Source organism: Homo sapiens, chromosome 10 (assembly GCF_000001405.40).
Source record: "Homo sapiens chromosome 10, GRCh38.p14 Primary Assembly".
NCBI lineage: Eukaryota > Metazoa > Chordata > Mammalia > Primates > Hominidae > Homo > Homo sapiens.
This window is the reverse complement of record NC_000010.11, coordinates 21,775,838-21,800,752: the sequence shown is the minus strand read 5'-3', so window position 1 is coordinate 21,800,752 and position 24,915 is coordinate 21,775,838. Positions and strand designations below refer to the sequence as shown.

At 40.3% G+C, this 24,915-nt stretch overlaps 1 protein-coding gene and 1 pseudogene across 1 annotated transcript in view, besides 1 other annotated feature; one reads left to right on the top strand and one right to left on the bottom strand.

Moving 5' to 3' along the window:
• DNAJC1 (DnaJ heat shock protein family (Hsp40) member C1) overlaps nucleotides 1-24,915 on the top strand; it is a 247,183-nt gene that overhangs the window by 202,978 nt on the left and 19,290 nt on the right. The gene's annotated exons all lie outside the window — the stretch shown is intronic.
• Nucleotides 3,818-4,356: an enhancer, noted in NCBI's record as "NANOG hESC enhancer chr10:22085326-22085864 (GRCh37/hg19 assembly coordinates)". NCBI's record gives its function as "activates a minimal SCP1, AML or CMV promoter by ChIP-STARR-seq in primed H9 embryonic stem cells {active_cell/tissue: H9 hESC(primed)}" and the evidence as "EXISTENCE:reporter gene assay evidence [ECO:0000049][PMID:30033119]".
• Nucleotides 15,166-15,461, bottom strand: RN7SKP219 (RN7SK pseudogene 219; annotated as a pseudogene).

Genomic DNA, 24,915 nt, shown 5'->3' with positions numbered 1-24,915 from the left:
ATAAACGTTGTATATCATTCTAGAGACTTTAGCGTTTCTCTGTATATGTATGGATATGTATAATTTTAATAGGATTAATCTACTTTCTGTCCTTTTCACATAGCTCTAGAACATGAGCATCTTTCATGGCAATAAATAAGATCCACATCATTTTTCTAAAGAGTTACACGATAGCCCATGCTGCCATGATATCATTAAAGAATATCCTATCGGTTGACATTTAAATTGCTTCCTTTTTTTGCTATTTCATTGAGATGGACATGGTGTTTTAAAAAATTGTCTTTTCACTCATATCTATTTTATTAGCTTGTGTGCCTAGAACTAGAGATTGCATTCCTAGAAGCTGCTTAGTTCAAGAATATGAATGTTTTTAGAGCCTCTGAGGGCTCTGAAATTGGCCTGCAGAGAGGTTATAACAATACACATTCCCACTAGTGGTATATGAGAGGTCACTTCCTCATACTCTCATAAAAACCAAACACTACATTTTTCACCATTGCCCATGAAGTGAAAAGTGTTATAGTATTGATCTTTGTTACTTGCAAAAGAAAACACAGAGACTTGGTACAAGGGGTCCACGTCTGATGAGGGGTTCTAGTGTGGGACAGAGAAAACAGGGGCAAGATCATTGTTCAGTAAATAATACAGTTAAGTTTTCAGGATTTGGGGACACCTGAAACAACTTTGTAAGAGTCTCTCAAAATCAAGGAGGAGACATGGAAAAGGTCTTGGGGATATTTATGAACACTGAGCATACACAGATCTTTAAACTTTCTATGGATAAGATGTCTCCAAAGTAAAGGAAATTGGAATGACACAGGTCCCTCAGCAACACTAGATTCTGTGGGATGAGGGAACAGTGCCTTCACAGTGCTCAGGGGAAATGGTTCTGAATCTAGAACTGACCAAGTGTGATGGTAAATACGTGGGGTGAGAACTCGTACCCTTTCCTAGAAATTTTCCTGAGGTTGTACTCCAGCAACAAAAGGAATAAATCGAAGAGGACAACATGGGATCCAAGAAATGGTGAATCAGGAGAACTAAGGACGGCATGATAGGGACCCTGGGAGGGAGGGAGGTTTCATAGAATAGATAGTATGGCTGAGAACTTGGAAAAATGCCTATGTAAAAATGTGGAAAAGAAAAAAAAGGCAAAGTGCAGCAACTAATGCCTGTAATCCCAGCACTTTGATAGGCTGGGACAGGAGGATCACCTGGGACCAGAAGTTTGCGACCAGCCTGGGCGACATAGGGAAACCTTCATCTTTACAAGAAAAGGAAAGAAAAATTAGCCAGGTGTGGTTGCACACACCTGTGTGCCAGCTATTTGGGAGGCTGAGTCAGGAGGATCACTTGAGCCCAGGAGATCGAGGTTGCAATGAGTCATGTTCATGCCACTGCACTCCAGCCTGGGTGATAGAGTGAGCCCCTGTCTCAAAACAAAAAAACAACAACAACAAAAAACAGTAAAAAGCAACCAGAAATTCCACAAAGAACATGGAAACCACACGTAAAAAGACATAGTTTAAATTTAATTATACTACAGAGTAGATTGGTAGAAAGAGCACTTGTTTCAGTGGTGAATAATATTTACCAGGTCATAATTATGTAATATCTTACATGATGGTTTTTTATATTTTAAACATTTTATATGTTTTACAGATTATTTTTCAGTTTTTAAAATCCACACATTGTGGAGGACTGTGGCATGTTGTTCACCAAAGTAAGTTCTCTCCTTCTTCTCTAGCAGTAGATTGTTGGTCAGGCACATATGTGCACAATGACATTGCATTCCCAAGCCTCCCAAACTCTGATATGGCTGTATCACTAATTTCTTTTCAGGAGAACATAAAGTAATGTGTGTTCATATGAGCCCTTATTTATTTTTCCCTCCCACTGAGCTAGAATACTAATATGCCTGCAACTAAGTTGCAACCACGCAAGCAAAGATAGTTGCCCTAAGGAGCTGTGGAGAAACAGGCTAGAAAGAACCCAGATGCATGCAATGAAAGAAAATTCTTGGGTAGTGACAAGTAACATGAAGAAAAATAAAGCAGGGTAAGCAGATAGAGACTGATGGAGCTGCATTTTAAAATAGGGTTCTGAGGAAAGTGTTCTCGGAGAGGTAGTATTTGAGCAGAGGTACAAAGCAAGTGAAGGAGCAAGGTTGTCTGAGAAGGAGCATTGCTGGCAGAGGAAATAGCACCTACAAAGTCCTGGAGGCAAGAGCATGTCTGGGGTTTGCAAGGCCCAACAAGGAGGTCCATATGGCTAAGGCATGAGTAGGAGAAGGAGATAACAGGAAATGAGTCTGAGAAGTAGTGGAAGACCAGGCCATATTGGCCCTTTTTGGCCAAGGTGGAAATTTTGGATTTTACCCTGAGCGAGATGGGAAAGCACTGGAAGATTCTGAGTAAAGGAGTGCAGTGATCTAAAAGCATTGTTCTGACTGTTTGGTGGGGAAGTTTGAAAGCAGGAAGGAAGGCCAGGTAAGAGGCTATTTCAGTTGTCCTTTCAGAACACAATGGTGGTTTTGGACTAGAGGTTGTTGGTAGAGGTGGGAAAGAGATTAGATGCAGGATGTGGTATACAAAGGCACGTTAATTAGCAATGTATACTTGTAACCTTGTAACCTTCAGAAGAACTGTGAGCGGAAATGATTGCCTGTGTGTGTAAGGTGCATTGTTTTCTGTCATAAGACCTTGTGTACTGCTTTTGTTAAAAAGCTATGTACATGCATGACCTTGATTTTTAAAAGCGACTTTTTAAAATGTGAAGAAACAAAACATTTGTCTTTGAATTTTTTTCATGACAGTATATATAGGCCTACCTCATTATCTGAGTTTGTTCTGTGCTGGTGTAACAGACTACCTGAGAGTGGATAATTTATGAAGAACTAAGATGTATTTCTTACAATTCTGGAGGCTGAGAAGTCAAGGGGCCCACGTCTGGCAAGGGCCTTCTTGCTGCGTCATCCCACTGTAGAACACAGAAGGACAAGAGAGCACACAACATACAAGGGAAAAAGAAAGGAAGGGAGCTGAACTCATCCTTTTATCAGGAACTCACTCCTGCAATAACCCACTCCCGCCATAAGGTCATTAACCCATTCATGAGGACAGAGGCCTCCTGAGCTAATTGCTTCTTAAAGGTCCCACCTCTCAACACTTTTGCATTGGGGATTAGGTTTCCAACAAATGAACTTTGGAAGACACATTCAAACCATAGCACTCATTTGTTTTAAAATTTTTTTGTTTAAAAAAATTATTGATTTACAGAACTAGAAAAACCAATCCTGAAGTGTATATGGAATTACAAAGGACCCCCAATATCTAGAACAACCTTGAGAAAGAAGAATAAAACTGGAGATACCACATTTCCTGATTTCAACATATATTAGAAAGTTATAGTAATTAAAGCAGTATGGTACTAGCATAAAGACAGACACATAGACCAAGGGAACAGGAAAGAGAACCCAGAAATAAACCCACACATATACAGTCAACTAATCTTCAAAAGGGTACCAAGAATACATATGGGGAAAGAAAGGTCTTTTCACCAAAATGGTGCTTGGAAAACTTAATGTCCACATGCAAAAGAATGAAACTGGACCCTTACTTACACCATGCAAAAAAAAAATTTTTTTAATGGATTAAAGTCTTAACTGTAAGACCTGAAGCCATAAAATGCCTAGAAGAAAATATAGGAGAAAGCCTCATGACATTGGTCTTCACAGTGATTTATTGGATTATAACACCAAAAACACAAGCAACAAAATGAAAAATAAAGAAGTGGGACTATATCAAACTAAAAAGCTTCTGTACAGCAAAGAAAACAATTAACAGAGTGAAGAGACAAACCATGCACTGGGAGAAAATATTTGCAAACCATTTATCTGATAAGGTGTTAATGTCCAAAATATGTAAGGAACTCCTACAACTCAAGAGCAAAAAAATAACCTCATATTTAAGTGGGCAAAGGACTTCAAAAGACATTTCTACAAAGATGACATAGAAATGGCCAACAGGTATATGAAAAGGTGCTCAACATCTCTAATCATTAGGGAAATAGAAATCAAAATGACAATAAGATACTTCACACCTCTTAGGACAGCCATCATCAAAAAAACAAAAACAAAACAAAAAGAAGTGTTGGCAGTGATTTAGAGAAATTGGAACCCTTGTACACTGTTGCTGGGAATGTGAAATGGTACAGTTGTTACAGAAAACAGTATGAAGATTCCTACAAAAGTTAAAAATAGAATTATATGACCTAGCAATTCTAGAAAAACTTCTAGATGTATATCCAAAAGAAGTGAAATCAAGATCTCAAAGAGGTATCTGCACTTCCCCGTTCATTGCACCATTATGCACAGTAGCCAAGACATGGAAACAGCCTAAATGTCCATTGATGGATGGATGGCTAGAGAAGATGTGGGATGTACATATAATAGAATATTATTCATTCATGAAAAAGAAGGAATGGCCGGGTGAGGTGGCTCACACCTGTAATCCTAGCACTTTGGGAGGCTGAGGCGGGCAGATCACCTGAGCTCAGGAGTTTGAGACCAGCCTGGCCAACATGGTGAAACCCCGTCTCTACTAAAAATACAAAAATTAGCTGGGTATGGTGGTGCATGCCTGTAATCCTAGCTACTCGGGAGGCTGAGGCAGGAGAATCGCTTGAACCCAGGAGGTGGCGGTTGCAGTGAGCCAAGATCATGCCACTACACTCCAGCCTGGGCAACAGAGTGAGACTCTGTCTCAAAAAAAAAAAAAAAAAGCGGAAATCCCACCATATGTGACAACATGGATGAACCCCTGAGAACATTATGCTAAGTGAAATAATCTTCTCCTATAAGGACAGATACTACATGATTCCATTTTTATGAGTTATCTAAAATAACCAGATTCACAGAAGCAAAAAATAGAATGGTGGTTGCCAGGAGCTGAAGGGAGGGAGAAATAGAGAGTTGTTGTTCAATGGATATAAAGTTTTGGTAATATGGATGAGTAAGTTCTAGAGGTCTGCTGTAGGATGTTGTGCATATAGTTAACAGTATTGTACTGTATACCTGATTTAAGAGAGTAAATCTCATGTTATTTTAGTAAATTTGTAGAGTTGTGAAATCGCCACAATCCAGTTTTAGACATTTTCATCACCCGAAGTGTTCCCTCAATCCCATTAGCAATCATTTCCCACTCCTGTTCTCTCAGGCTACACTGATCTATTTTCTTTTCAGGATATTACATTTAAATGGAATCTTAACAGTATTTAGTCTTCTCCTGTTCTCTCAGGCTACACTGATCTATTTTCTTTTCAGGAAATTACATTTAAATGGAATCTTAACAGTATTTAGTCTTTCACATATGGCTGCTTTCACTTGGCGAAAGGTATTTGAAGTTCATCCGTGTTGTAGCATGTATCAGCAGTTCATTTCTTCATATTGCTCAATATTTGTGTGCATAAATACTGCATTTTATTTATTCTATACTAATTGGTCATTTGTCTTATTTCCACTTTGGTGCTGTTAGAATAATACTGCCATGAACATTAATCTGTATAGTACTTATTAGCCATTCCTACGTCTTATTTAGTGAAATATCTATTCATAATTTTTGCCCATATTTTAATTTGGTTGTTTTTCCTGTCATAAGAGTTCTTTATATATAGGTTAGACATCCCAAATCTGAAAACCTGAAATTTGAAATGCTCAAAATTCCAAAACTTTTTGACCACCAAGATGACACTCAAAGGAAATACTTATTGGAACATTTCAGATTTCAGATTTTCAGATTCAGAATGCTCAGCTGGTAAATGGAATACAGATATTACAAAATGCAAATAAATCTGAAATCTGAAACACTTTTGGTCACAAGCATTTTGGAGAAGGAATACTCAACCTGTATATTATGGACTCAAGTCTTTCATCAAATATATGATTTGCAAATATGTTCTCCCACTGTGTGGTTTGTCTTTTTGTTTTTTTTAATGGTGTCATATGAAGTACAAAAGTTTACTTTTAGTAAAGTCCAGTTCATCAATTTTTTTCTTTTATAGATTATGCTTTTTAGTGTTATACCTAAGAACTTTTCCTAACCCAGGATAGCAAAGAATTTCTCCTACATTTTCTTAGAAGTTTTATAGTTTTAGATATTACATTTAAGTCTAAGATCCATTTTGAGTTGATTTTTTGTGTTTAATGTGAGATTTAAGGGTCAAGTTCATTTTTTTTGCTCATGGATGTTCATTTGCATTGACTCTATAGATCAATTTGGAGAGAACTGCCATCTTAACAATTTTGAATGTTCAAATTCATGAACATGAAATGTCTTTCATTCATTTAGAGCTTTTACAAGTTCTGTCTACAGTGTTTTCAATATGCAAATCTGGTTCTTCTTTTATTAAATGTATTATTTTTTTCAGCTTATAGAGAAGAACCATTTTCTTTTCTCTCTCTCTCTCTCTTTTTTTTTTTTTTTTTTTGAAGATAGGAACTTACTCTGTTGCCCAGGAGTGCAATGGCATGATCATAGATAACTGAAACTTTGAACTCCTTGGCTGAAGGAATCCTTCCACCTCAGCCTCTCAAATAGCTGGGAATACAAGTGCATACTACCACACCCAACTAGTTTTTTTGTGTGAAGATGGAATCTCACTATGTTGCCAAGGCTGGTCTCAAACTCCTGACCTCAAGCGATCCTCCCGCCTCAGCCTCCCAAAGTGTTGGGATTACAGGCGTGAGCCACCTTGCCCTGCCAGAATTGTTTTATTTATTTATTTACATTTTTATTTATTTTCTGACAGAGTCTCACTCTGTTGCCCAGGTTGGAATGCAGTGGTGTGACCACTGCTCACTATAGCCTCGACCTCCTAGGCTCAAGCAATCTGCCCACTTCAGCCTTCCCAGTAGCTGGGACTACAGGGATGGACCACCACTGCCCAGCTAATGTTTTAATTTTTTATTTGTAAAGACAGGGCCTCACTATGTTCCCCCCAGGCTGGTCTTGAATTCCTGAGGTCAAGAGATCCTCCTGCCTTGACCTCTCAAAGTGTTGGGATTACAGATGTGAGCCACTGCGCCCAGCCAGAATTGTTTTCTTAATTACACTTTCAAATTGTCCATTGCTGGTATGTAGGAATACAGTGGATTTTTATATACTGGGTTTTGGAGCCTGTGGACTTAACTAACATTGATAGTTTAATAGTTCTGTGGATAAAAAGTTTTTATTCTTCCTTTCCAATCTGGATGCCTTCAGTCCATTTATTTACTTAATATCTTGTTGCACTGGCTAAAACATCTAGTACAATATTATACAGAAGTGGTGAGTGCAGGCATACTTGCCTTGTTCCTGATCATGGAGGGAAGACATTCAGTCTTTCACCATTAAGTATTATTTTAGCTGTAGGTTTTTCATAGATGCTTTTCTTTCCCGGCCCCCCAACCCCTGAGATGGAGCGCCCAGTTGCCCAGGCTGGAGAGCAATGGCACAATCTCAGCTCACTGCAACCTCCACTTCCCGGGTTCAAGTGATTCTCCTGCCTCAGCTTCCCAAGTAGCTGGGATTACAGGCATTCACCACCACGCCCAGCTAATTTTTCTATTTTTAGTAGATACAGGGTTTCACCACGTTGGCCAGACTGGTCTTGAACTCCTGACCTCGGATGATCTGCCCTCCTTGGCCTCCCAAAATGCTGGGATTATAGGCATGAGCCACCGTGCCCAGGCTCATAGAAGCTTTTTATCTAAGGAACTTCCCTTCTATTTCTAGCTTGAGCATTTTTATCATGAATAGACATTGGATTTTGTCACATGATTTTGCTTCATCTATTGAGATGATCACATGATTTTTATCCTGTGTTTTATTAATATGGCATAGTATATAAATTGATCTTTGGATGTTAAACCAACCTTACATTCCCACTTGATCATGTTGTATATACATTTTATATGGTGCTGGATTTGGTTAGCTAATTTTTTTTTTTTTTTTTTTGAGGTGTTGTCTCACTCTGTCACCCAGGCTGGAGAGCAGTGGCACGATCTCAGCTCACTGCAACCTCTGCCTCCCGGGTTCAAGCAATTCTCCTGCCTGAGCCTCCAGAGCAGCAGGGATTCCAGGCGCCTGCCACTATGCCTGGCTAACTTTTTTGTATTTTCAGTAGAGACAGGGTTTCACCATGTTGGCCAGGATGGTCAGAAACTCCTGACCTCAAGTGATCCGCCCACCTCAGCCTCCCAAAGTGCTGGGATTCCAGGCATAAGCCACCACACCCGGTCAAGGTTAGCTAGTAATTATGGATTTTTGTTTCTTTGTTCATGAGAGCGAATGGTCTATAGTTTCCTTGTGATGTCTTTGTCTGGCTTTGATATCAGGGTAATGCTAGCCTCATAGAATAAATAGAAAGTGTTCCTTCCTCCCCTAATTTCTGAAAGTTTGTGAACAATTGTTATTATATCTTCTTTGAGTATCTGATAGAATTCACCAGTGAAGCCAGCTAGGCCTTGGCTTTTCTTTATGGGAAGACTTTTAGTTACTAATTCATTTGTTTTTAAGTTATTACGGGTCTATTCAGATTTTCTATTTCTTCTTGATTAAATTTTAGTAATTTCTAGGGATTTATTCATTTCATTCACATCAGCGGTTGTGCTCTGAAAGTGCTTGAATAATAAAAGTGTGGCTGATATTCTCTCCAAAGAAGATTTTTTTTTGACCACAGATTTCATTTCTTTAATGATGGGTGAACTATCCATGTTTTTCATTTCTTTTGGTTACGCTAAGCTAACGGTTTATCAATTTTGTTGATCTTTTCAAAAAATCAACTTTTTGTTTCATTGATCTTTGGTATGGTTTTTTCAGTTTCAATTTTATTTCTACTCTGAACTCTATTATTCCTTTCTTTCTGCTAACTTTGGGTTTGGTTTCTTGCTTTTCTAGTCCTTGAAATGCATCATTAGGTTATTTATTTGAAATCTTTCTCCTTGTTTATGGCTATAATCTTGCCTCTAATATTGCTTTTTCTGTATTCAGTAGATTTTGATTTGTTGTGTTTTTAATTTCGTTTGTTTCAAGAATGTTTTTAATTTTCTTTTAAATTTTTTTATTGACCAATTGGTCGTTCAGGAGCACATTTAATTTTCATATATTTGTATGGTTTTGAAAGTTCCCTTGGTATTGATTTCTAGTTTTGTTTCACTGTGGTCAGAGAGGATACTTGATATGATTTCTACTTTTTAAAAATTTGTTGAGACTTGTTTTGTGGCGTAACATGTGGTCTGTCCTGGAGAATGTTCCATGAGCTGATGAGAAGAATGTGTATTCTGTAGCTGTTGGATGAAGTGTTCTGTAAATGTCTGTTAGTTCCATTTGGTCTAAGATGCAATTCAAATTCAGTGTTTTCTTGTTGTTGATTTCCTGTCTGAATGATCTGTCCACTGCTGAGTGTGGGGTGTCAAAGTTCCCAACTGTTGTTGTATTGGAGTCTATCTCTCCCTTTAGATCTAATAATATTTGCTTTTATGTATCTGGTTTCTCCAATGTTGGGTGCATATATATTCACAACTGTGCATATATATTCACATCTTGCTGAATTGATCCTTTTATCATCATATAATGACCTTTTTTGTCTCTTTTTGCAGCTTTTCACTTAAAGTCTGTTTTATATGATATAAATATAGCTATGTCTTCTCACTTTTGTTTTCCTTTTGCATGGAGTATCTTTTTTCTTCCTCTACTTTCAGTCTGTATGTGTCTTTATAAGTGAAGTGAATTTCTTATACGTAGCATATAGTATAGTTGACTCATATTTTTAAAAATTTTATTTTGCCAGTCTATATCTTTTAAGTGAAGAATTTAATCTGTTCATATTCAAGGTTATTATTGATAAATGAGGACTTACTCCTGTCATTTTGTTCATTGTTTTCTTGTTGTTTTAGGTATCTTTTTTTCCTTTCTTCCTCTCATGTCATTGTGGTTTGGTGGTTTTCTGTAATATTAAGATTTGATCCTTTTTCTGCTTTGTGTATTTGCTATAACAGTGAATTTTATACTTTTGAGTGTTTTCATGATGGTGATTATCATCTTTTTGCTGCCAGATGCAGGACTTCCTTGAGCATTTCTTGTAAGGCCAATGTAGTGGTGATGAATTCTCTTAGTTTTTGCTTGTCTGGGAAAGATTTTCTTTCTCATTTCTGAAAGATAGTTTTGCTGGGTACAGTATTCTTTGGTGGCTTTTTTTTTTTTGGCAATTTATTGAATACATTGTTTCATTCTTTTGTAGCTTGCAAGGTTTCTCTGGAGAAATCTAATGGGAATCCTCTTAAATGTAACTTGACATTTTTCTCTTGCCATTTTTAGAATTTTCTCTTCGTCTTTGCCTTTGAAAATTTGATCATAATGTGCCTCTGGGAGGATCTTTTTGAGTTGAATCTATTTGGGGGTCTCTGGATGCCCCAGATTTGGGAAGTTTTCAACTATTCTTTGATTAAATAGGTTTTTTATGCCTTTTTCCATGTCTTCTCCTTCTGGAACTTCCATAATATGAACACTTGTTCACTTAATGGTGTCTCATAAGTCTTGTAAGCTTTTTTTTTTTACTTTTTTGATTTTTTGCTTTTTTTCTTTCTTTCTCTAACTGGGTAATTTCCAATGACCTGTGTTCAAACTCAGAGATTTTTTTTTCTTCTGTTAGATCAAGTCTGCTACTTAAGCTGTTTCTTTTTTTTTTTTTTTTTTTTTTTTTTTAAAGACAGAGCCTTGCTGTGTTGCCCAGGCTGGAGTGTAGTGGCTTAGTCTTGGCTCACTGCAACCTCCACCTCCTGGATTCAAGCAATTCTCATGCTTCAGCCTCTCTAGTAGCTGGGATTACAGGCGTGCACCACCCTGCCTGGCTAATTTTTGTACTTTTAGTAGAGACCAGGTTTCACCATGTTGGCCAGGCTGCTCTTGAACTCCTGGCTTCATGTGATCCACCCACCTTGGTCTCCCAAAGTGCTGGGATTATAGGCGTGAGCCACTGCACCTGGCTGTATTTTTTATTTTATTCATTGAATTGTTCAGCTGCAGGATTTCTATTTGATTCTTTTTCATGATATTTATCTCCGTTGAATTTCTAATTTATATCATGATTTTTTTTCCTAGTTTTGTTGAATTATCTATCTGTACATTCTTATATCTTGGTGAGTTTCCTTAAGTTCATTAATTTCTATACTGGCAACTTGTGGATTTCCTTGTCATTAGGGTTTGTTATTGAAGAGTCGTGTTCCTCTTGTGATGTCATATTTCCTTGATTTTCATATTTCTTGTGTCCCTGTATTGATGTCTGTGAAACAATAGCCTCTTCCAAACTTTCTAGAGTGGCTTTCATACATAGAGAAAGACTTTCACCTGCAGTTGGGTCTTACAGTGCCAGTTGGGAAGTGGATGGTAACTCTTTCCAGGTAGGTGCAGTGGTATAGTCTCTGTGCAGCTTTTTCATCTATATTCAACATTAGTAATAAATGTGACTGCCTCAGTGGCCTAGGTTGTAGACATTCGTGGTTGTGGCAGCAGCAGCATAGGTTGTTAATTCTTTGGTTGTAGGGGCTTTTGGAGTCCTTTTCTCAACTTCCCCACGGTGGGGAAACCTAGCCAAGGGGATCCCTCTTGCTGTCAGATCTGGCATGGCCTACAAGCAGCTGCCACAGTGGCTAAATTCCAGGTGCGGGTGCTCAGAGCAGCTGTGGGGCTGGAGTCCTAAGCTCAGGGTCTTATGAACCTTATTCTGGCACCAGGGTCTTGGGGTGCAAGCTTGCTCTCTGTGGCAGGGTTGGATGTAGGTTGCTCTTAGTGCTGGGATCTGTGACTCTGAGGCACCTTCTAGCAGCTCATGTCCAGGAGGTCAGGTTGTAGCTGTGATGCTACCCCTGGGGAGCAGTTCACAGCTCTGGCCTGACTCCAGGGAAGAAGGTGTGCTCTGGAGGTTTGAGCCTAGGCCAGGATATGGCTTTGATTCAGGAGCTTGAACCAGTAGGGCTCAGTGACAACTCAGGACGCTGGATGTGAGGCACCATGTAGTGGTAACTCTACAATCTGGGATGGTAGGGCTCAGCAGTATCTCAGTCTCTGTGAGTCCAAGTGCAGTGGCAGCAAGTAGCCCAGAATGGCCGAACATGGCTGTCGTTTGGGCCATGAGGGGCAGAAAATGGCAGAGTGATAACACTACTCCACAAACAGGGAGGTGTCTTAACAGCCCAGACCATAGGGTGCTGGTCCAGCTCCAGAGAAGCAGGGTACTGGAGTTGTTTGGCCTGTAGGGTAGGGTGTCTGAGCTTAGCCACTGCTTTGTTTCCCTGAGACAAAGGGTAGTACATAAGCTTAGCCCTGGGATGCACAGCTTCTCAGCTCAGCCAAGGCATGAGTTCCCCAGGGGGCAATGTGCTGCTATAGCTCTGGCCTAAAGGGGTGTGACTGCCCAGGCAGCCCAGGGACCATGGATGCAGGGCTCCAGCAAAGCCCTCTTTCCAGCGGAGGCAGTGCACAGTTCCAGCTCAGGCTTGTAGGGGCAGAGCACAGCCGCAGCTGACAGAGGTAAATGGAGCTGTTCTGTCAAAGCACCCTTTCCTCTGGAGGGAGAAATGGTGCTTAAGCTCCAGCCCAAGGCAATGGGAGGTGGAGGATGGAAGTTCCACCACTGCTTGGTTCCACAGGGAAAGGTGCTCACAGCTGAGCCACTTGTGGATGTCAGACCACTGAGCAGAGGTGCTCTGATGGTGGGGTAGCCTCAGGGATGAAGGGATACCATGACTACTAGCCCCCAGAGCAAGACTACTCCAGCATTAGTTCCAGTTACAAGATGGTGTGGCATGGTGGCCATGCAGGCCACAGCGGGAGGAACACAGTATTGGCTACTCCTCTGGGGGAGCAAAGCTGTGCAGCTTCTTGGCAGCTCCCTCAGCTGGGCTTAGTGCCTGTGAGGACTGCAGGTGACCCCAGTGGTGAGGCCTGTAGGTGTCTAAGGTGTTGGTGGGGGCTGCTGGGATCCTCTTGCCTACCTTTTCATCAAAGACAGAAGTGGCCACCTGGTTCCCAGCTGATCCTGGCTGGGGGATGGAGTGGCAGAGGCCTGGCATTTCCTTCTTTTCATGATGTGGCTATCCTGAGTTTCTGCACTCACCAGGGTTGCTGTTACTTCTTTGACATGCTCCAGCACTCTCCTTTGGTTATTTCTGTTAAAATGTAGTGGTTTATTCATTGTTTTTGGCTGTCTTTGTGGAAGGGATGAGCACTACGGGTCTCTAGTCAGCCATCTTGCTGATATCACCTCCCCAAATAACTCTATTTCTTCTTCTCCTTCTCCTCCTCCTCCTCTTCCTTCTTTTCTTCTTTCTTCTTTTTTCTCTTCCTCTCCTTCCCCTCCTTCCTCCTCCTCCTCCTTTTTTCTTTTTTTGTGACGGAATCTCACTCTGTTGCCCAGGCTGGAGTGCAATGGCATGATCTCTGCTCACTGCAACCTCTACCTCCTGGGTTCAAGCAATTCTCCTGCCTCAGCTTCCTGAGTAGCTGGGACTACAAGCGCCTGCCACCATGCCCGGCTAATTTTTGTACTTTTAGTAGAAACAAGGTTTCACCATGTTGGCTAGGCTGGTCTCAAACTCCTGACCTCAGGTGTTCTGCCCACCTGAGCCTCCCAAAGTGCTGGAATTACAGGCGTGAACTACCACACCCAGCCAAGACTCTGTTTCTCTCTGAGTAAATTTTAGAACATTAGATTTTTCTAGGAATATATCCCATTAAACTAAATCTTGAAATAAATTGGCATAAGGTTGTTAATATTATTTATTACATACTCCCTCCTTTATTGTAAAATATAAATATGTAAAACAGCTCAATGAGTAGCTATACAACAAACAAGATTATAATTTTCATTAGTACCCAGAAAATAACATTAACAGCAATATCAGGTAGGGATAGATGGTAATTGGATCGATAGAAATTCCCGTTTTAGTCCAGGCACAGTGGCTCATGCCTATAATCCCAGTGCTTTGGGAGGCCGAGGTGGATCTCCTGAGATCAGGAGTTCGAGACCAGGCTGGCCAAATGGTGAAACTCTGTCTCTACTAAAAATACCAAAATTAGCCGGTGTGGTGGCGCACGCCTGCTACGCGGGAGGCTGAGGCATTAGAATCACTTGAACCCAGGAGGCAGAGGCTGCAGTGAGCCAAGATCACAGTGAGCCACTGTACTCCAGCCTGGGTGACAGAGTGAGACTCCATCTCTCTCTCTCTCTCTCTCTCTCTCTCTCTCTCTCTCTATATATATATATATATATATATATATATATATATATTCCCATTTTAAAATCAAAACCTCAACATTAGATCTGAAATGAATTTTCAAGAGATTGTTATGGGTGGGAAATCTGAAGGCACCCAAATGTTAGATTAAATACCTGAATTTACATAGTAAATTCTTAATTCTTCTTAATGTATGATCTGGAATTACTCTTTTCCCTTATCTTTATCATATTGTAACTCAGGTGTCAGATGGACCTCTCTGCCTCTTGGAGATCTAGAACCAATGGGCTAAGACCAACAACAACTCTATAGTCCGTGAACATCTAAAAATCTTCCCATTATGTGTGTTAATTCCCAAGGTGTGCACTCTTCTTGCCTCACGCGCCTGTATCCTAGTGTGTCCCCTTTGTACTATACGACAGTGAATTTCTCAAAAAGAATCTACTCGTCCAAAAGCATTAATGAGCAGGAGTGGATCTACGTTAAATGGAGCCTGAAGTATATACAGTGATCAACATTCCTAGTGATCTTATAGGGGAAATGGAGGAACGCTCTATAACAAACAATTTAAAATCCATACATTACATACTAGTTATAGATATCACTGTGGTCCAGTGCCCTTCTTAGTCGTACAATTTCCAGTTGCTTTTCTCCCTTCCCCTCCTCCTTTTCCATCTTTTTTCATCTTCTCTGCCTTCCATTTCCTGTCACTTTCTCTCTTCCAGATTAACCCTCAACCTGGGTTCTTTCCTGTGTTCAACAGAGTACTTTGCCTTTTCCTCTGATGTCCAGGTGGCAGTTGCCATGTAGGCCCAGGAGGGCAGGGAGAGCATTCAACTTCCACTTGGAACACTTGCCAGACTATCCCTTCAACAAAGACAGTTTTATTTTTCAAAGGAATTCTAGAGCCATCTCTAGAATTTTGTTATATTTTCGACTGCCTACTCTCCCCTGTCAAAGGACATGGAAAGCTAATTCAAATGTTCTGGTAAAGGAGTAACAACTACTTGCAGGCCTTGGACCAGAGAATATCCTCCTTCAGTTTTCTTCTTCCACAGAGGACACACCTTGAAGAGGAGCAAAGGCAATAGTTGAGAGAGAGGAACGAGATATCTACCAAGCCTGCTGGATTCTTTCAATCCTTGCAAATTAGTAGAGTGGCAATATCACTGGCAGATACATCTGATGCACACTGGGGAAATTGAAGTACAAAGGCTTTGCATCCTGACTGCCTCCACACAATGGGAAATTGGCAGTAATGCAGCTTAAGAGGATAGAATTGGCCTCTTTCTTGAGAGGTGAGGCCAGACCCTCAAACTGCCAGTGCACAAAGCTGTTTGGATTGCTGTTTCCTTGCTTTGGCCACTATTGATTTATAAATAAGACTTTTTTAAAGCAAGAAGCTGATTTTTTTTCTTTTTTCTTTTATTATTATATTTTAAGTTCTAGGGTACATGTGCACAACATGCAGGTTTGTTACATATGTGTCCATGTGCCATGTTGGTGTGCTGCACCCATTAACTTGTCATTTATATTAGGTATATCTCCTAATGCTATCCCTTCCCCCTGCCCCCCACCCCATGACAGGCCCCGGTGTGTGATGTTCCCCTTCCTGTGTCCAAGTGTTCTCATTGTTCAGTTCCCACCTATGTGTGAGAACATGCAGTGTTTGGTTTTCTGTCCTTGCGATAGTTTGCTCGGAATGATGGTTTCCAGCTTTATCCATGTCCCTACAAAGGACATGAACTCATCCTTTTTTATGACTACATAGTATTCCATTGTGTATATGTGCCACATTTTCTTGATCCAGTCTATCATTGATGGACATTTGGGTTGGTTTCAAGTCTTTACTATTGTGAATAGTGCCACAATAAACATACGTGTGCATGTGTCTTTATAGCAGCATGATTTATAATCCTTTGGGTACATACCCAGTAATGTGATGGCTGGGTCAAATGGTATTTCTAGTTCTAGATCCTTGAGGAATCACCACACTGACTTCCACAATGGTTGATCTAGTTTACAGTCCACCAACAGTGTAAAAGTGTTCCTATTTCTCCACATCCTCTCCAGCACCTATTGTTTCCTGACTTTTTAATGATTGCCATTCTAACTGGTCTAAGATGGCATTTCATTGTGGTTTTGATTTGCATTTCTCTGATGGCCAGTGATGATGAGCATTTTTTCTTGCATCTGTTGGCTGCATAAGTGTCTTCTTTTGAGAAGTGTCTGTTCATATCCTTCGCCCACTTTTTGATGGGGTTGTTTGATTTTTTCTTGTAAATTTGTTTAAGTTCTTTGTAGATTCTAGATATTAGCCCTTTGTCAGATGGGTAGATTGCAAAAATTTTCTCCCATTTTGTAGGTTGCCTGTTCACTGACAGTAGTTTCTTTTGCTGTGCAGAAGCTGTTTAGCTTATTTAGATCCCATTTGTCAATTTTGGCTTTTGTTGCCATTGCTTTTGGTGTTTTAGATATAAAGTCCTTGCCCATGCCTGTGTCCTGAATGGTATTGCCTAGGTTTTCTTCTAGGGTTTTTATGGTTTTAGGTCTAACATTTAAGTCTTTAATCCACCTTGAATTAATGTTTGTATAAGGTGTAAGGAAGGGATCCAGTTTCAGCTTTCTACATATGGCTAGCCAGTTTTCCCAGCACCATTTATTAAATAGGGAATCCTTTCCCCATTTCTTGTTTTTGTCAGGTTTGTCAAAGATCAGATGGTTGTAGATGTGTGGTGTTATTTCTGAGGGCTCTGTTCTGTTCCATTGGTCTGTATCTCTGTTTTGGTATCAGTACCATGCTGTTTTGGTTACTGTAGCCTTGTAGTATAGTTTGAAGTCAGGTAGTGTGATGCCTCCAGCTTTGTTCTTTTTGCTTAGGATTGACTTGGCAGTGTGGGCTCTTTTTTGGTTCCATATGAACTTTAAAGTAGTTTTTTCCAATTCTGTGAAGAAAGTCATTGGTAGCTTGATGGGGATGGCATTGAATCTACAAATTACCTTGGGTAGTATGGCCATTGTCACGATATTGATTCTTCCTATCCATGAGCATGGAATGTTCTTTCATTTGTTTGTGTCCTCTTTTATTTTGCTGAGCAGTAGTTTGTAGTTCTCCTTGAAGAGGTCCTTCACATCCCTTGTAAGTTGGATTCCTAGGTATTTTATTCTCTTTGAAGCAATTGTGAATGGGTGTTCACTCATGATTTGGCTCTGTGTTTGTCTGTTATTGGTGTATAAGAATGCTTGTGATTTTTGCACATTGATTTTGTATCCTGAGACTTTGCTGAAGTTGCTTATCAGTTTAAGGAGATTTTGGGCTGAGATGATGGGGTTTTCTAAATATACAATCATGTCATCTACAAACAGGGACAGTTTGACTTCCTCTTTTCCTCACTGAATACCCTTTATTTCTTTCTCCTGCCTGATTGCCCTGGCCAGAACTTCCAACACTGTGTTGAATAGGAGTGGTGAAAGAGGGCATCCCTGTCTTGTGCCAGTTTTCAAAGGGAATGCTTCCAGTTTTTGTCAATTCAATGTGATATTGGCTGTGGGTTTGTCATAAATAGCTCTTACTATTTTGACATACGTTCCATCAACACCTAATTTATTGAGAGTTTTTAGCATGAAGGGTTGTTGAATTTTGTCAAAGGCCTTTCTGCATCTATTGAGATAATCATGTGGTTTTTGTCTTTGGTTCTGTTTATATGATGGATTACGTTTATTGATTTGCATATGTTCAACCAGCCTTGCATCCCAGGGATGAAGCCCACTTGATCATGGTGGATAAGCTTTTTGATGTGCTGCTGGATTCGGTTTGCCAGTATCTTGTTGAGGATTTTTGCATCGATGTTCATCAGGGATATTGGTCTAAAATTCTCTTTTTTTGTTGTGTCTCTGCCAGGCTTTGGTATCAGGATGATGCTGGCCTCATAAAATGAGTTAGGGAGGAATCCCTCTTTTTCTGTTGATTGGAATGGATTCCTTCTGTTTCAGAAGGAGTGGTACCAGCTCCTCCTTGTACCTCTGGTAGAATTCGGCTGTGAATCCATCTGGTCCTGGACTTTTTTTGGTTGGTAGGCTATTAATTATTGCCTCAATTTCAGAGCCTGTTATTGGTCTATTCAGAGATTCGACTTCTTCCTGGTTTAGTCTTGGGAGGGTTTATGTGTCCAGGAATTTATCCATTTCTTCTAGATTTTCTAGTTTATTTGCATAGCGGTGTTTATAGTATTCTCTGATGGTAGTTAGTATTTCTCTGGGATCAGTGGTGATATCCCCTTTATCATTTTTTATTGCATCTATTTGATCTCTCTTTTCTTCTTTATTAGTCTTGCTAGCGGTCTATCAATTTTGTTGATCTTTTCAAAAAACCAGCTTCTGGATTCATTGATTTTTTTGAAGGATTTTTTGTGTCTCTATCTCCTTCAGTTCTGCTCTGATCTTAGTTATTTCTTGCCTTCTGCTAGCTTCTGAATGTGTTCGCTCTTGCTTCTCTAGTGTTTTGCAGTGGTAGGGTGTCAATTTTAGATCTTTCCTGCTTTCTCTGGTGGGCATTTAGTGCTATAAATTTCCCTCTACTCACTGCTTTAAATGTGTCCCAGAGATTCTGGTATGTTGTGTCTTTGTTCTCATTGGTTTCAAAGAACATACTTATTTCTGCCTTCATTTCGTTATGTACCCAGTAGTCATTCAGGAGCAGGTTGTTCAGTTTCCATGTAGTTGAGCGGTTTTGAGTGAGTTTCTTTTTTTTTTTTTTTTTTTTGAGACAGTCGCACTCTGTCACCCAGGCTGGAGTGCAGTGGCACGATCTCGGCTCACTGCAAGCTCCGCCTCCCAGGTTCACGCCATTCTCCTGCCTCAGCCTCCTGAGTAGCTGGGACTACAGGCACCCACCACCACGCCCGGCTAATGTTTTGTATTTTTAGTAGAGACGGGGTTTCACCGTGTTAGCCAGGATGGTCTTGATCTCCTGACCTCGTGATCTGCCCGCCTCTGCCTCCCAAAGTGCTGGGATTACAGGCGTGAGCCACCGCGCCCGGCGAGTGAGTTTCTTAATCCTGAGTTCTAGTTTGATTGCACTGTGGTCTGAGAGACAGTTTGTTATAATTTCTGTTCTTTTACATTTGCTGAGGAGTGCTTTACTTCCAACTGTGTGGTCAATTTTGGAATAAGTGCGATGTGTTGCTGAGAAGAATGTATATGATTTGGGGTGGAGAGTTCTGTTGATGTCTATTAGGTCCGCTTGGTGCAAAGCTGAGTTCAATTTCTGGATATCCTTGTTAACTTTCTGTCTCTTTGATCTGTCTAATGTTGACAGTGGGGTGTTAAAGTCTCCCATTACTATTGTGTGTCAGTCTAAGTCTCTTTGTATGTCTCTAAGTACTTGCTTTATGAATCTGGGTGCTCCTGAATAGGGTGCATATATATTTAGGATAGTTAGCTCTTCTTGTTGAATTGATCCCTTTACCATTACATAATGGCCTTGTCTCTTTTGATCTTTGTTGGTTTAAAGTCTGTTTTATCAGAGACTAGGATTGCAACCCCTGCTTTTCTTTTTTGTTTTCCATTTGCTTGGTAGATCTTCCTCCATCTCTTTATTTTGAGCCTGTGTGTGTCTCTGCACATGAGATGGGTCTCCTGAATACAGCACACTGATGGGTCTTGACTCTTTATCCAATTTGCCAGTCTGTGTCTTTTAATTGGAGCATTTAGCCCATTTACATTTAAGGTTAATATTGTTATGTGTGAATCTGATCCTGTCATTATGATGTTAGTTGGTTATTTTGCTCGTTAGTTGATGCAGTTTCTTCCTAGCATCAATGGTCTTTACAGTTTGGCATGTTTTTGCAGTGGCTGGTACCAGTTGTTCCTTTCCATATTTCGTGCTTCCTTCAGGAGCTCATTTAGGGCAGGCCTGGTGGTGACAAAATCTCTCAGCATTTGCTTGTCTGTAAAGGATTTTATTTCTCCTTCACTTATGAAGCTTAGTTTGGCTGGCTATGAAATTCTGGGTTGAAAATTCTTTTCTTTAAGAATGTTGAATATTGGCCCCCACTGTCTTCTGGCTTGTAGAGTTTCTGCCAAGAGATCAGCTGTTAGTCTGATGGGCTTCCCTTTGTGGGTAACCCAACCTTTCTCTCTGGTTGCCCTTAACATTTTTTCCTTCATTTCAACTTTGGTGAATCTGACAATTATGTGTCTTGGAGTTGCTCTTCTCAAGGAGTATCTTTGTGGTGTTCTCTGTATTTCCTGAATTTGAATGTTGGCCTGCCTTGCTAGGTTGGGGAAGTTCTCCTGGATAAAATCCTGAAGAGTGTTTTCCAACTTGGTTCCATTGTCCCCGTCACTTTCAGGTACACCAATCAGACGTAAATTTGGTCTTTTCACATAGTCCCATATTTCTTGGAGGCTTTGTTCATTTCTTTTTACTCTTTTTTCTCTAAACTTATCTTCTCACTTCATTTCGTTCATTTGATCTTCCATCACTGATACCCTTTCTTCTGGTTGATCCAATCGGCTACTGAAACTTGTGCATGCATCACGTAGTTCTCTTGCCATGGTTTTCAGCTCCATCAGGTCATTGAAGGTCTTCTCTACACTGGTTATTCTAGTTAGCCATTCGTCTAATCTTTTTTCAAGGTTTTTAGCTTCTTTGCGATGGGTTCGAACATCCTCCTTTAGCTTGGAGAAGTTTGATCGTCTGAAGCCTTCTTCTCTCAACTCATCAAAGTCATTCTCCATCCAGCTTTGTTCCATTGCTGGCAAGGAGCTGTGTTCCTTTGGAGGAGGAGAGGCGCTCAGATTTTTAGAATTCTCAGCTTTTGTGCTCTGGTTTCTCCCCATCTTTGTGGTTTTATCTACCTTTGGTCTTTGATGATGGTGACGTACAGATGGGGTTTTGGTGTGGATGTCCTTTCTGTTTGTTAATTTTCCTTTTAACAGTCAGGACCCTCAGCTGCACATCTGCTGGAGTTTGCTGGAGGTCCACTCCAGACCCTGTTTGCCTGGGTATCACCAGCAGAGGCTGCAGAACAGCGGATATTGCAGAACAGCAAATGTTGCTGCCTGATCGTTCCTCTGGAAGTTTTGTCTCAGAGGGGTATGTGGCCGTGTGAGGTGTCAGTTGGCCCCTACTGGGAGGTGCCTCCCAGACAGGCTACTCGGGGGTCAGGGACTCACTTGAGGAGGCAGTCTGTCTGTTTTCATATCTCAAACTCCGTTCTGGGAGAACCACTACTCTCTTCAAAGCTGTCACACAGGGACATTTAAGTCTGCAGAGGTTATTGCTGTCTTTTGTTTGTCTGTGCCGTGTCCCCAGAGGTGGAGTCTACAGAGGCAGGCAGGCCTCCTTGAGCTGCAGTGGGCTCAACCCAGTTCGAGCTTCCTGGCCGCTTTGTTTACCTACTCAAGCCTCAGCAATGGCAGGCGCCCCTCCCCCAGCCTCGCTGCCATCTTGCAGTTCGATCTCAGACCGCTGTGCTAGCGATGAGCGAGGCTCCATGGGCGTGGGACCGTCCAAGCCAGGTGTGGAATATAATCTCCTGGTGTGCCGTTTGCTAAGACGGTTGGAAAAGCGCAGTGTTAGGGTGGGAGTGACCCAATTTTCCAGGTGCCGTCTTTCACAGCTTCCCTTGGCTAGGAAAGGGAATTCCCTGACCCTTTGCACTTCCTGGGAGAGGCAATGCCTCGCCCTGCTTCGGCTCACGCTTGGTGGGCTGCACCCACTGTCCTGCACCCACTGTCTGACAAGCCCCAGTGAGATGAACCTGGTATCTCAATTGGAAATGCAGAAATCACCCGTCTTCTCCGTCGCTCACACTGGGAGCTGTAGACTAGAGCTGTTCCTATTCAGCCATCTTGGAACACTCCCCAATTTTTTTTTCTTGTAAGTACAGTTCTAATTAATCTGCAGTCTCTTGAATGAATATGCAAGTAAATAGCCCAATTGTAAGCCCCTTGAAATGGATAGGATAATACCTTGCATATACAAACTAACATTCTCAGTACAGTAATGTACTAAGTCAATACTTAATAAATCTTTGGTATTTGGGATATTTCATTAGTAATGTGACATCCAGTGACCCACACGATATTTGAACTAAAAGGAAATCATGAATGCAATCCTTTTGTTTTATGGGCAGAGATGTAAAGTGGGAAGAAAACAGTATTTAAAAGGAAACCTGCCTTAGGTGTTCTGACTCCAGTATATGACTTTGCAGGTCCTCATATTGCTCTGAGCTTCAGTCAGTTTTCTCATCTGTAATATCAGCATTTTTTTTTCTTTTTTGAGATGAAGTCTCACTCTGTCGCCCAGGCTGGAGTGCAGTGGTGTGGTGCCATCTTGGCTCACTGCAACCTCTGCCTCCTGGGTTCAAGCGATTCTCATGCTTCAGCCTCTCAAGTAGCTGGGACTACAAGTGTGCGCTACCACACCCAGCTAATTTTTGTATTTTTTAATAGAGGTGTGGTTTCACCATGTTGGCCAGGCTGGTCTTGAACTCCTGACCTCAGGTGATCCACCCGCCTTGGACTCCCAAACTATTGGGATTACAGGCATGAGCCACCATGCCCAGCCTGTGATATCAATTTTACAAGGTAGTTGGGGATGAAATGTGACAGTCTTATGAAAATGTTTTGTTAATATGAGTGAACCATTATGCAATTGTAAATCACATTATCACTTTTGTTACAGATGTGAGTTTTAAAAAGAGATAAAGTAGGCCCAAAAACTAGTTAATGTCAGTCCAGGCCTAGAACTCGAGACTATTCTGACTCTTTCTTAGGCTATGTTGCCCTTTTGGTTTAGCAAAAACATGATTTCAAACCCTGCATATGTGGCAGCACTGTTCTTTGTCATACCTTGATCTGATAATATCTTCAAAGTGAAATCACTTGGTTTCCTGAGGTGCTGGGCTAAAGGAGGATAAATTTGAGAGCAAGGTGTTTCATGTCCTGAGACACTGGCCAGTTTATGTGGCTATGCTCCTAAGTGATTCTGCAAGCAGTGGCTCTCACAGGTACCCTTTTGAATATTTGAACCACAGAAATATCCAAGGACTCATTATGCTCTAATGGAACACTTTTTCATCTTCTTTAGTGATTCATTAAGGCAAAGTATATTTGCAGATTACAGGAAACCTTTTCTTTCTATATCTCCTATTTAAGATTCTTATATAGTCTTTGGATCCTATTAGGTGTTCTATGTTACTAGTATACTGAATTTGTAATTTGTACTTACTCATCAGAGCCCTATATCTTACCTAAAGAATGGTGTCTACTTTAAACCCTGTATCTAATTTACCAGTTATAATCACATACACTTTGAATACTATTAATGATATTCATTAAAGAACTGGTTTAGCTCATAGTCTGTGGTCTGGTGATGTTATCATACTGCCTAGTAAGCATTTATTTTATTACTCTGATTTGTACATAGCACCTTATTATGTATAGTTAAGAATGCAGCAAGTCAATAGAATGGTGATACCTGAGCTATTACATGTTAATGCAATTTAAAATTGCCTCCTTGTGTTAAAATTTGGGGAAACCATTAAAAAGAGAATAATATGGTGAATATGTGTTATGTTGTTACGGTGTTCACTGGTAGAGTAACAGTATCTACAAGACTACACAATTGTCTTTTTGCATAAGTGTTTTCTCCCAGGAAATAGCTATCCGCATTGCTTATAGAGGTAATCAGTTAATCAAAGACCTTCGCTTTTAAAAGTTAAGATGAACATTATTATCATCTCATATTTTTCTATCTAGACAGATAATCCACAGAAAAGTTTAAAGACATTAGAGAAATAACAAGAATGAGCACCACTGCTTTCTACCAGTTGGAAACATTTTTTCAGGTGGCTTATTTAGGAGGAGAAGGGAGAGGAGAAAAAAATAATTTTTCAAAGTGGTTTATTTAATGTTCAGGTAACAGAACATGCCTTGTATTTGAACGCTGTAGTAGTTCTTACTTGTAATGAGGGCTAAATTCAAGTGGAAAGTTGACCAAGAGTAAATTTAACAAATGAAAATAATGAACTTCACAGTTACATAATTTTTGTTACTAGAGTAATACTTAAAATATCACTGACAGCCAGAATTTGAAAAATATGACTTAAGGTTATTTTCCAGATTAAGTACTTATTTTATGAGTTACCTGAAGGTGCCAGAAATATGAACATATACTTTATATAGCTCAGAAAGTTGGAAAATTCTTCTTTACGTTGAACAGAAATATGTAACCATGTAACTGTTGACTGATCCTAGCTCTGGCCTGTGAACTATAGTTTTCATTTTGCTGATTTAATTTTCTGTTAATTTCATCAGTGTTTTTACTAGAGGGAATGCAACCTACAGTGTTTTTAGTAGAGGGAATGCAACCTATTTTAGTTTTTTTTCATTCACTCTACCCTTACCTATCATAAATCACAAACTTACATCATAGGTCCCCAATTGCATAAGCATTCTAAAGATAAATTTGGGCATTAGGAAGAGGAGTTAGAAAGTGTTTTCTGCTTGGAATCACAATGTGGTGAAACATATTCCACCACAGTTACAATCCATGTGACTATTTATTAATACACATTGGACTGTCCAAAAGCCCACCCAAGCCAGTAGCCCACAATATTAGTTCCTCAGATACC